We start from the raw sequence: 12,499 nt of genomic DNA on the forward strand, positions 1-12,499 counted from the left end.
TTACATATGTATACATGTGCCATGCTGGTGCGCTGCACCCACTAACTCGTCATCTAGCATTAGGTATATCTCCCAATGCTATCCCTCCCCACGCCCCACCCCACAACAGTCCCCAGAGTGTGATATTCCCCTTCCTGTGTCCATGTGATCTCATTGTTCAATTCCCACCTATGAGTGAGACTATGCGGTGTTTGGTTTTTTGTTCTTGCGATAGTTTAGTGAGAATGATGATTTCCAATTTCATCCATGTCCCTACAAAGGACATGAACTCATCATTTTTTATGGCTGCATAGTATTCCATGGTGTATGTGTGCCACATTTTCTTAATCCAGTCTATCATTGTTGGACATTTGGGTTGGTTCCAAGTCTTTGCTATTGTGAATAGTGCCACAATAAACATACGTGTGCATGTGTCTTTATAGCAGCATGATTTATAGTCCTTTGGGTATATACCCAGTAATGGGATGGCCGGGTCAAATGGTATTTCTAGTTTGTTATGTGGCTTAAAGGAAATAATCCATGTAAAACATTTAAATAGCATGATGACTGGACTCAATAAATACTGTTAATTTATGAGTGGTTCTTGTTCCACAGATGGTGTTATTTCTGCTCTAGACTTGAAGGATGTAATATATTTTTAATATATACTTTGTGTCTTCACACATATCTTTTTTTTTTTTTTTTTTTGAGACAGTCTTGCTCTGTTGCCAGGCTGGAGGGCAGTGGCGCAATCTCAGCTCACTGCAACCCCCACCTCCGGTTCAAGTGATTCTCCTGCCTCAGCCTCCTGAGTAGCTGGGACTACAGGCACCCGCCACCATGCCTGGCTAATTTTTATTTTTTATTTTTTGTATTTTTAGTAGAGACAGGGTTTCACCATGTTGGCCAGGATGGTCTTGATCTCTTCACCTCATGATCCACCCGCCTTGGCCTCCCAAAGTGCTGAGATTATAGGTGTGAGCCACTGCACTCAGCCTTCACACATATCTTATTTGATTCTTCCCACCATCTTTTGCGCTAGGCAGGGTAGGTGTTATTATCACCTTGTAATAATCAGGGTAGGGTAGGTAATATAGTTTGGATATTTGTCTCCTCCTAATCTCATGTTGAAATTTGATCCCCAGGGTTGGAGGTGGGGCTTGGTAGGAGGTGTTTGGGTCATGGGGGTGGATCACTCATGAATGGCTTGGTGCCTTCCCCATGGAAATGGGTGAGTTCTCTATTAGTTTATGTGAGAGCTGGTTGTTGAAAATAGCCTGGCACCGCTACTCTTGTTCTCTCTCATCCTCCCTCTCTGGTCATGGGATATGCCAGCTCTCCTTCTTCTTCTGCTATGATTGGAAGCTTCCTGAGGTCCTCACCAGAAGCAGATGCTGGCACCATGCTTCTTGTACAACCTGCAGAACCGTGAGCAAAATAAATCTCTTTTTAAAAATAAATTATCCAGCTTCAGTTATTCCTTTATAGAAACATAAAACAGACTAAGACAGTAGGCTTCAGTAATAAATAGGCCCCCAAAACTTTGGTGGCTTAACCCAATCAATGTTTACCCATTGCTCATGAAACAGTCCAAGGAAGGTATTTTGGGTTAGAGGGCAGCTTCTTTCACAGGGTCATTCTGGGATATATTTTCCAGCTTTGCCATCCTTTAATATGTAGACAACCAGGTCCTCATCATTATCCACGTGCAACTGGTGGGAAGAGGAAAAGGTGGCACAATAAATTTTTGGCTTGAAAAATGGCTCACATCACTTCTGTGCATATTCTGCTGGGTAGGAATGACAGTTACATGGCCATGTGTAACTGGAAGGGACACCAAAGATAGAGTCTAGCTGTGTGCCTGGGAAGAAGATGAAACATATGACAGATTTATGGTGAAGAGCTAGCGGTCTCTGCCACACGTACATTTAACAGGGTGAAACTGAGTTCCTGGGAAGCTAATGCAATTTGCCCAATGTGGCATAGATCTTTGTAGCCATCGTCCAATATGTTGGGATATGATGTGAATCCTAGCTAGAATCGTAACTGGGGGCAGCGGGGCAGTGAAGAGGATGTAGAAGGAAAATAAGACAGAGCTGAGGTCACGGAGAGCTAGCCGGACATGTGGCGTGGGGATGCCCATCCAAGCAAATTCCCTGGAGGGTGCTCACAGCTGCTTTGTTTAGTGCTCCATGCCACTTTGCTTGCATTTCTTGCTGTTTCTTTTTCCCATTTGTAAACGCCTGCTGGGCCACTTGCCCTGGGTAAAGAAGTTTCAAATCTCCACTGAGATAAAACAATAGCACCTCCCCAGCTGCTATTGTTGCAGGCACCCTGGCTGCAGGCTCAAGGAGAAAACCTTGAATCAATTTGCCTCATGGAGGCCGAGGAGTTGGCTGCCTGCCCTTCACAACTTGTTAAAGTGAACACTTAGACTCTAGGGGGGCGAGAGGGTTGATTCTCGCTCCGTGATCCTCCCCACTGATTGTTTTAGGTGCTGGGATGTCAGTGTCACAGTTCTGGGGTGGGGGAGGGGTTTAGTGCTGAGCCTTCCATCTCTTTCTTGCCTGAAATGCTTTTAAAAAGTAAAACTTCAATTTTGCTGGAATTTTGCCTAGATACTTTTTCTCTCCCAGCCAGACTCAGATACTCCCCCAAAGTTGTTCCCTTGGGACAAGAGTCTCAAAAGCCCATGGCTCCTCCCATTCTGGGAGAGATGATTAATACTCAGGTCACATACACTTCAGACCCATGATGGAGGGGGCTCCCTGTCCATCCTGGCCGATGGCCGATTGGACCAGCCAACAAGTTTTGTTTTACTTGACATGAAAGCTGGTTGAAGTTAAGCAGGAGACATGTTTTTGTTTCTTTAATAAATAAAAGTAAGGACTCTGTACATGAATAAAAGTAAAAGTCACTCCCCTGAGGATTTTAGGCTTCCAAAAATAGTCCCAAGCTTAGCCAAGGCCAATGCAGCCAGAATTTCCATGGAAAGCTTCGCTGGTGAGGAAGAGGCAGTGCCAGGGGATGTACAAACAGGCTGTCCCGTCTTCTCCCCCAAGCCCTTCCTGTCTCAGCCGCCGGGAGTTTAGAAAACAGGTTTTTGAAATCGGGTTCATTTTCTGGTTTGAGATAAGTCAATGGCAGCAGCGGCACTATTTATTTCTCATGGGATCCAATTTAGGGGCTGCAAGGGCTCTATGGAAGTGGATGGCGAGGTGGTTTACAGTGGAGGAGTTGGAGGAATTTGTCCTTGTCAGACAGGGAAGACTTATTTCTTGAATGAAAGATGCAGCAGGAAAGTTATACTAAACAAACAGATGTTTTTAAAACGTCTGTTTTAAAGTAGCTTTCTCTTCCTCCCAATAATTGATTATTCATGGCAAAGGCGAGCCGGTTAACAGCAAGAAATTGTTTCCCAGTATTTGTTGTTGGAGATTCCCGCTCTTCAGGATTTGCTGCACAGCTTAGAGGGCTGTTGATCTTGTCCCCCTGCACCCACAGCCCAGTTGTCTCTCCTTGAACGAGACTGTCTGAAGTATTAGCATTTTTCTGCCCAGCACACTTTACTGAAATTAGGGTTTTAGGGGAACTATTAGAAATATGAGAAAAAAAGAACTGTACCGGCCAGGGTGGGTCGCACCACCTCTGCTGTACAATGACGCTTAGAAGGTGCTGTGGCTCAGAGGAACAAACCTGAAGTTTCAGGAAAGCGGATTTTAAAAATAAGCACCCTTTTGTGGGAGGGAGGGTGGTGGTGACATTTTTAGCTATTAAAAATTCAGCTGCTTGGGAATCAGTGCATAGTTGCTTGAAAAATGGTTTTTCATAAATGAATGTGTTCTTCATGAAATTAAGGAGACTTAAAAAGGGCTCAGAAGGCAAAATCAGAAAACCTTCCAAGGGTACCTCAAGCTGAACGAAAGAGGAAAATATTCTTTTCTGCCATCTCAAGTTGTAACTTGGTTTTTCTCATGTGCTCTAATTTGGAGGGTGTATGTGTGTCTGTGTGTGTGTTCAGAATATGGAGAAGGTTTAATTACACACATTACCCATCAGAAACTTACCAAATACCGGTTTGAAAGACAGAAAAAGTAAACTGGAATAAACAGTGATTATAAATTTTATTTTAATTCATATTTTTCAGTGGGCCAAATAATCATGGCAACAGGACTTTTAGAAGCACGTCCTCTGAAAGCCATTTTCTGCCTGTGGTTGGAAAGGGACTGTGAGTCTTTCCTCAGGAAGTCAGTAGCCCTACCTGGTGAGGTGATCAAGAGTTTGCTAGCACAAGAGATGAAGGTATGTCATCTTATTTCCCTTGATTACACTGGAGGGGAAGGTAGCAAACTCATTAACTGTGGAAAATAATACAACATGTGTTTTTATTTTGGAGTCTTCAAAGAAATGATTTTAAGAAGGCTTCCTGGTCACTTAAAATTTTAAAACAAGGCCAGGTGCAGTGCCTCACGCCTGTAATCCCAACACTTTGGAGGCCAAGGCAGGCAGATCATTTGAGGCCAGGGGTTCAAGACCAGCCTGGGCAACATGGTAAAACCCCATCTCTACTAAAAACACACAATTAGCTGGGTGGGGTGGCACACGCCTGTAGTTCTAGCTGCTCAGGAGGCTGAGATGGGAGAATTGCTTGACCCCAGGAGGTGGAGGTTGCAGTAAGCCAGGATTGCGCCACTGCACTCCAGCCTGGGCAACAGAGCAAGACTCTGTGTCCAAAAAAAAAAAAAAAAAAAAAAAGTTTCAAACAAAACTACAATCACAATAACTGAAAAACAAACAGTTTTTTCTTTTTGGTTAGAAAGAACTCGTGCACTACAAAGACAAATCCCACTTGGGCCAGAAGCATATGTTTACCACTGGTGAGCTGAGATTCTTTGACAATGCCCATCTTTCATGTTTCTAGTCTTGGATACCCTTCTTGTCAATTTTAGCTGTAAACATACTTAAAAGTTATAATCCTATCCTGTATGTTTTGATACCCAACCCTTCAGATAGTCGGTCAGAAGAGTATAGTGCTGCTAAGAAATGTTGTAGTCTCATTAAAGATACATTTTAGTGAGAATGTTCAAGAAATTGTCTGCTTGTGAATGCTTGTCTCTGTGTTGGGAAAACATCTGGGTAAATAGTAAAAAAGAAAAAAAAAAGTCAGTTAATAAAGAAGATGGTGTTTTATAGTATATCAGATCTTCAAATGTTAGTCCACCCTGGCAGTGCACCTGTTGTAGACAGCAATGCCTCCCTTTATAAAAGAACATCTCCTCTTTCCAGCTTCAATCATAGAAACATGCATTTCAGTAAACAAGTCCATCTTTACCATATGTTGTGCCTTTCACAAGTCCATAGCCTTCAATGTTAACCCTCCTGGGTCATCTTTCTTACTTGAAGTGGCTGGCTCACCTGTTTTGACCCTTCCCCATAATGAAGTTTCTTTTCTTTCTCAGTGAGAATTTCCATTGTCTTCAGGTTGGTGTGCCTGCATCTCCCTTAACCACAATCGTGGATTGTTGCATGCCTTGTAGGACACCTAAACGTCACTCCTAATTTGAAGATGAAGAAATTGAGCCAGGAATGACAAAGGGGTTTCTCCTATCTCAGTGTGAATATAAAGGTCACCTGCTTTGTTGCCTAAATATTTCTCGGAGCTGTCACCACCTCTTTCCCCCAACATCCTCTGCCCTAGGTCAGTATTCATCACCTTTCTCTGGACCCTATCAAAATTGCCTCTGGTGTAGTCTCTCTTTAGCTAGCCCCTCCCACTGGAGTTAGACCAGTCAATCTAAAATATGAATGTGGTCAATGCCACTTCTGTGCTTTATACCTTCAGTGAGTACCCATCACCTTTCAGATGAGTTTCAAGTTTTTTAGCCCAGTATGCCAGCTGTGCTGTGACATAACCTCTGTCTCTCTAGCCTGATTTTAGAAAATCTTTTTCATCTCATTCTTTATGTTCTGTTAACATTGAGCTGCACGTGGTACCCCCAACATATATCCACACCACCAAACTTCACTTACATTTGAAGTTTTGCTCACATTGTTCCTGTATCAGTCAGATGTTTTGGTTGCAAGCAAATGAAACGAACCCTGGTTAACTTAGGCTTGAAAGAAATTTATTAAAGGGACATTGGGCAGCTTACAGAAGTGCCACTAAAGCTGAAGAACTAGGTCGGAGGCTAGCCAGCTGAAATCATAGCTCAAATCATGCTCTGGAACAGGTCTATTGAGTTCACACCACTGCAGCCCCCAATGTTGTGGCCAGCACTGTCCACACTCTGACACTGGGACCTGGGTGCTGCCCCTGGCTCCTTTGGCATCACAGTCTCTGGGAACAAGACCTTGGGATGACGGCTGACGGTGCCAGAAATGACTTTTTGTGGTCTGTGTTTCGTTGTACCATTGGCTCCTGATTTAATGCTTTTGGCATGTGTATCTATCTGATTGTCCAAACCTAAGTCACATGCCTACCTAACTGTATAGAAGAAAGGGAAGTCTCAGGGTTGTACACCTTCTACAGTAGGAATTCTACCAAGCTTCAAAAGGAGAAAAATTCTCTAAACAAAGGAATGAAGTTCAGACGCTGAGCATCCCAAAGAAGGATAACTGGCCATTATAATTCCTCAGCCTTTGTGACAATTCTGTGAGCTGCTCAGTGTCCTTTCATGGCTAACTTGCAGTGCTTTGTCACATCTTTATTTGCCTAGTTAAATCTTGCCCATGTTCTAACATAAACACAAGTATGTTTGCTGCAAAGAAGTCTTCCTTACACCCCAGGTTGGGATTAATCTTTTCCTTAGCCTTTGGGCATATTTATGCCTTATTGGTTATGACATTTTATTGTGTTCCTGTTTAAGTATTTGTGTCTGTGTCTCATTTGTAAGCCCCCCACGGGTATGCACTTTGCCCTAGACATCTTCCAGTGCCTAACACAGTGTTTGGCTTATAGGACATGTCCAATGAATTCATTCATTCACTCACTCATTCACTCACTGTTTGTTGAACTGAATGGAGCTGAATTGCCAAAGATTACACACGTAATCAGTGACATAGGTGGAGTAAAATTCAAGTCTCTTCACTTTAGTGTTTCTAAAGTAACGGAAGCTGTGACATCCCTCCTTTCCTCTCCTTTCCCCTCTTCCACCCTAATCATTATTTATTTCTTTTCACAGTTTAGCTTCTGCTAGTCTTCATCCTTCCCAGTAAATTTCTCTCCTAACCATTGCCTTGGCAAATGGTTCAAGGAACCCAGAGCTGTTGATTTGTAAACTGTGGCCCTGCCAGGTCAAGGAGAGGCATGAAAACCTTGGACTTGGAGTAAGCAAATGCAGAGAACTTTTGGGAAAATATGTGCAGCTACAATTTTGTCTTCAGTAATTATGCCAGGAATTGAATTAGGTTTTCTTGGAGCAGAAGGTCTAATAGATCAATGCTCTGGCCCATGAGCCCTCCAGCCAAGAAGTGCATGCGTTTTTAAGAGGAACATAAACACAGCTCACACTGGTCATACAGCAGCTTGGGTAGATGGATTTATACTTCAGCAGACAGTTGGTCCCTGGGTAGAAACATGGGCCAAGGGCCAGGAGACCCCCAGTTCAATTTCCAGTTAAGTCATCTCTGTTTATTTCTCACAAAATACATATTTAAAAAAATTTGAAATTAAAACATCATGCTTAAAACACTCTATAGTAAACAGAGGCCTTAAAAGAAGATCTGTTGCCAGCATCACTTTTTGTTAAAGCTGTATCCAATTTAAAGTTTATTTTATACCCAGGATACGGAATGGTGCACAGAGTGCTGAGAAATCACCACACATCTGAGCAGGACCAATCAGATGTTTTGGCAGGACATCTCCCTGAACGGGACACCCCCAAGCTTGTGGGGGTGGCTTCAGGCATTGATGAACACATGTGGACAGGCACAAGGGGCATTAAAAACAAGGTGTGTGCATCTACAACCCTCTCCTTTCTGCTGCTCTCAACAAGTTCTATTGATTCTACCTCTTACATATCTCTCATATTGCTCCTTTGTCTTCATCTTCTCCCCACCCTGGTCCCATCGCTATCACCTCCTAATTGGTCTCTCTGCATCCACTATTGTCTCTGTCCAATCAGTCTGCACCATGTCACTCACACCACCCTCATCTACTTCAAATCCATCGGTGGCTTCCTGTTGCCGTTAGAATAAAGGCAAAAATTCTTAACATGGCCCAAGCCCTTATGATCTGGCCCCATCCAGCTCTCCAGCCTGATCTGCCCTCTGTAGGGCAACCACGCTGGCCTGCCAGCCATGTGACCTTGTGCCACATCCCTCCTGCCCCAAAGACACCCTCGTGCTGTTCCTTCTACCTTGGGAGCACTCCACGATGCCCTACCCCTTGTTCTTCACTGGCTTAATGCCCACCTATGCTTCAAATCTCGGTTTTGAGATCACTTCCTTAGAAAACTCTTCTGTACCCTCCCACCCCCATGAGATCCCCTTGTTCTCTACTCTCACAATACTGCAAGAGCATTTTTCTGCTTTTTAGCATTTATTGTCACTTGAGCCGACACATTTATTTCTGTGATTTGAAGAATCTTGTTGTTTCCACTAACAATACTGGAAACATGTCTGGAGGACTAATTGCAAACCTAGAAGTTTCTAAGTGTGCCAGTATATTAACATACTTGGTTTTTACAAAAATGGAGAAAATATTTCCTATTTCTACCCTCCCTGAGGGCTTAGGTAACTAGCTCACGGCCACACAGCTAGTAATCACAGATTTGGGATTTGAGCCAGGCCGGCTGACCCCACGGTGCACATATTTCATCATGATTCTGTGTTGCCTTGCTACTACATCAGTGTTTCTCAATGTTTGCTTCATGTTTGCCCTCCCTCCCACCCAGCTCTTGAGGCCAAAGAACCTTTGTTTAGATATGTTTTACTTATCTCCCATGAAATTTTACTACCACAACTACACTGTAGCGTACAGAATAATGCTCCCCTCCCCAAGATATTCACATCCTGCACCCTGGAACCTGTGAATATCTTACATTACATGGCAAGGAGGGAATTGAGGCTTCAGATGGCATTCAGGTTGCTAATCAGATGACCTTGAGATGAGATACGATGTGTCAGGCACTATGCTAGGAACAAGAGATGGAGTAGTGATCAAAGCCAGAGACAATTCTTGTTTTGTAGTCCAGTACATGCATTCTCCATGGGGGTAATATTGCCCCTAATGGGAAAAATAAATTCTCAGGGTGGTGGAAAAAACTTTATTCTCTTCATATATAAAACACAGATATGCATAGAGCACAAACACACACACAGAGTTGTATTAGTTTTCTATTGCTGCTGTAACAAGTTACCATAAACTCAGTGGCTTAAAAAAACAGAAATAATTATCTTACAGTTTTAGGAGCTGTGTCACTGGGCTGAAATCAGGATGTTGGCAGGGCTGCATTCCTTCTGCAGAACCTAGGGGAGAATCTGTTTCCACGCCTTTTCCAGCTCCTAGAGGCTGCTGGCATTCCTTGGCTGATAGTACCTTCCTTCTATGAGAGACAATTATCTGGGTGGGCCCAGTGTAAACACAAGGGCCCTTATAAGTGGAAAAAGGAGGCGAGAGAGCCAGTGTCAGAGCGATGCAGTGTTAGAAAGACTTGACTGACTATTGTTCGCTTTGAGGATGAAGGAAGGTACTATCAGCCAAGGAATGCCAGCAGCCTCTAGAAACTGGAAAAGCTGTGGAAGTAGATTCTCCCCTAGATTCTGCAGAAGGAATGCAGCCCTGCCAACATCCTGATTTCAGCCCAGTGACACAGCTTGTAGGACTGTAAGATAATTATTTCTGTTATTTTAAGCCACTGAGTTTATGGTAACTTGTTACAGCAGCAATAGAAAACTAATACAATTCTGTGTGTGTGTGTGTGTGTGTGTGTGTGTGTGTGTGTGTGCTCTATACATATCTGTGTTTTATGTATGAATAGAATAAAGTTTTTTCTACCACCCCAAGAATTTGTTTTCCCCATTGGGGCAATATTACCCCCATGGAGAATGCATGTACTGGACTACAAAACAAGAATTGTCTCTGGCTTTGATCACTACTCCATCTCTTGTTCCTAGCATAGTGCCAGACACATAGTAGGCACCTAATAAGTATTTGTTGAGTAAATGAGTGAATGAATGATTGAATGAGTATGAATTTGAATTAAGGGCCATAATCCTACTTATGAAAAATAAAAAGGGCTAAAGGACTCCATGTTAGGAACAGAGTGAATCAATGTTTTTGAATAACTATGAGACCATAGTGCTGTGAACAGCACGTTCATCACCACGGATTTATCAATTTCCAAATGCACCTGTAAAAATTGGTTAGACCAATGGAGGCACCAGCAGAAAGAGTCTTGGGAATGTCAGCTCTGGGGTGTGCCATGAGCACAGTTGCAGGCAAATAGCCTTCAGCTATTTGGGGTAATTGCATGAAAGAGCCTCGCATCTAAGGAAAAGTAATCAAGATCTACTGTGAACTGGGTGAAACTACTTGGCTTATTAATAGTCAAGCATCCTATGTACCAGCTTCCTTTTGTACATTCTCTTTATAGAACCCATGCACAATCAGTATTTTAATCCCCATTATACAGATGACACAGCTCAGAGAGGCCAAGTCCTTGCTCAAAATCTCTTTACAAAAATTTTCTAGGCACTCCAAATCTAGAGAAGGAATGCCTTCCAATTCATTGTCATTATTTTAGCTTACCACAAATTTGAGTTTAAATGAGTCATTTTTAAGGTTTAGGTGGAGCCAGGGAACATCAGTGGCATATGCTATTTTTCTGCCAGTTCCCTTTCTTCCCTCTCATTTGCCAGGCGTCCACTCGGAAAGGGCTTTCCAGGGCTCCAGTGTTGGTGGCCCAGCTTTTGCAGGAGAACCTACGACATCATGTGATTTTCTGGTCACCTTGGCTCTGGGGAAGGTGCAGGCTCTTCCCAGGGCCTGCTTTGTGTCTCTGTAGTGGTGATGACGAGAGCACTAAGCTCCATTGGATGACAGGACATGCTGGCTTTGGTTTTGCCCCAGCATTGGCAAGTTGAGCACATTCCTTTTTGACCCTCCTAGAGCTGCTGTGTGGGGCAGTCAGGCAGAATCACACCATTGGGGTGGATCTAGGGGGATGGAGTGTGGAATGTGCTGAGCTCTGTCTTCCTTGCCAACTAGGAATGGGAAGACTGGAGGATTGCTGGAGGGAGGGCAGGGGTCTTCATGGAGGTGGGCAAGATGGGAGCCAGGGCCCAGTGCAGTGCAGGAGGCCTCCGGGGGAGTCATTTCTCAGGCACATGAAGGGGATGTTCTCAGAACCGCACTTGGCAGGGACTGTCTCTTCATTTGATCTTACCACATGGCAGTCTTGGTCTCCAGGGCCATACATAGCTAACGAGGAACACTTGTCTGGCATTCACATTTACAAATAACTTTCCTGTGCAAGATCTGAGGATGGTGAATCTTGAGGGGATCTGATCCAATCTCTCCATGGCTGTTTTGCTTCCACATTTTAGCAATCACTGATTCCAGTGCCTACTATGTGCAACAATAATGGGAAACACAAGCATTCGGATTGCATTTTTCGTTCAACATATTTCTGACTTCCATTATCCAATTTTATCCTATATCCCATCCTGTGAGATTGGATCTTATGCCCTCATTTTTTTCAGATGAGAAAATTAAAGCTTAGGGGGCAAATTAACATGTACTAGTTTGTTAAGCTGTGGACACTAATAATATGATCTACCATAGTAGTAATACTACTGTAAGTGCTTACATTCACTTAATTCTCAGAGCATTATTATTCTCAGTTGACATGTGCAAAACCTGAGGTGCAAAGTGACTAACAACTTGCCCAAGATCATATAGTCAATAAGAAGAGGGAGGATGTGAATTTAGACAACCTGGCTCCATAGACTAGTTTCAACCACTGTGCTATCCGACAGAGTAGGGCTCAATGCCAGGGCTCAGTTCCATACTGTTCTTTCCTCTCTACCGTGCTACCTTTCTATGCCAAATGATCTGGAATATATAAAGGAAAATGACATTGTTCTTGCTTATAGTCTTTTGAGGGGAAAGGTGTGCAACAGTTGACTCTTCAGGGTGAAAACACTAAATGCTAAGCTGAGGTCAAGGGGAACTCTAGGGAACCCTGAGGAATGGCCCAGGAGACCTAGACCTCATAGCCTCCATAGCCCCTTCCCTGCTGATCCTTTTCATACTGGCCTGGCCAGTCCTAATTTCTCTCTGAAATAGAGTAGCCTTCACAGTTGTCCTGGGTTGGTCATTTTGACCTCATATTTAGGGGTTTGGGGTAATTTCTCTAGGAAGTTTCTCCCTATATGCAGCATGACCAATAAGTGTAGAGGTCACCAGCAAGCAAATTGCTCAAAAGAAGTATCACAAACTGTCCTGTACCAAATGCTCTACTTCCTGAAGATGGAGACCCTTTGGGCGCCTGGCTGGTTCTCACCAACTTGGAAGGAT

General features: G+C 43.5%; 1 long non-coding RNA gene across 9 annotated transcripts in view, besides 1 other annotated feature; it reads left to right on the top strand.

Moving 5' to 3' along the window:
- The window catches only part of CFAP418-AS1 (CFAP418 antisense RNA 1), a 541,308-nt gene that overhangs the window by 159,664 nt on the left and 369,145 nt on the right, over positions 1-12,499 (top strand). For 3 of the 9 annotated variants that reach the window (NR_038201.1, NR_038202.1, NR_038207.1), the window contains one exon: positions 4,127-4,281. The exons of the other annotated variants lie outside the window; for them this stretch is intronic. This is a non-coding gene — a long non-coding RNA (CFAP418 antisense RNA 1). The remainder of the gene's footprint in view (positions 1-4,126; positions 4,282-12,499) is intronic. 9 annotated transcript variants of the gene reach the window in all.
- Positions 2,016-2,547: an enhancer, noted in NCBI's record as "NANOG hESC enhancer chr8:96442743-96443274 (GRCh37/hg19 assembly coordinates)". NCBI's record gives its function as "activates a minimal SCP1, AML or CMV promoter by ChIP-STARR-seq in primed H9 embryonic stem cells {active_cell/tissue: H9 hESC(primed)}" and the evidence as "EXISTENCE:reporter gene assay evidence [ECO:0000049][PMID:30033119]".

The sequence above is a fragment of the Homo sapiens genome, chromosome 8 (assembly GCF_000001405.40).
Source record: "Homo sapiens chromosome 8, GRCh38.p14 Primary Assembly".
NCBI classification, from domain to species: domain Eukaryota; kingdom Metazoa; phylum Chordata; class Mammalia; order Primates; family Hominidae; genus Homo; species Homo sapiens.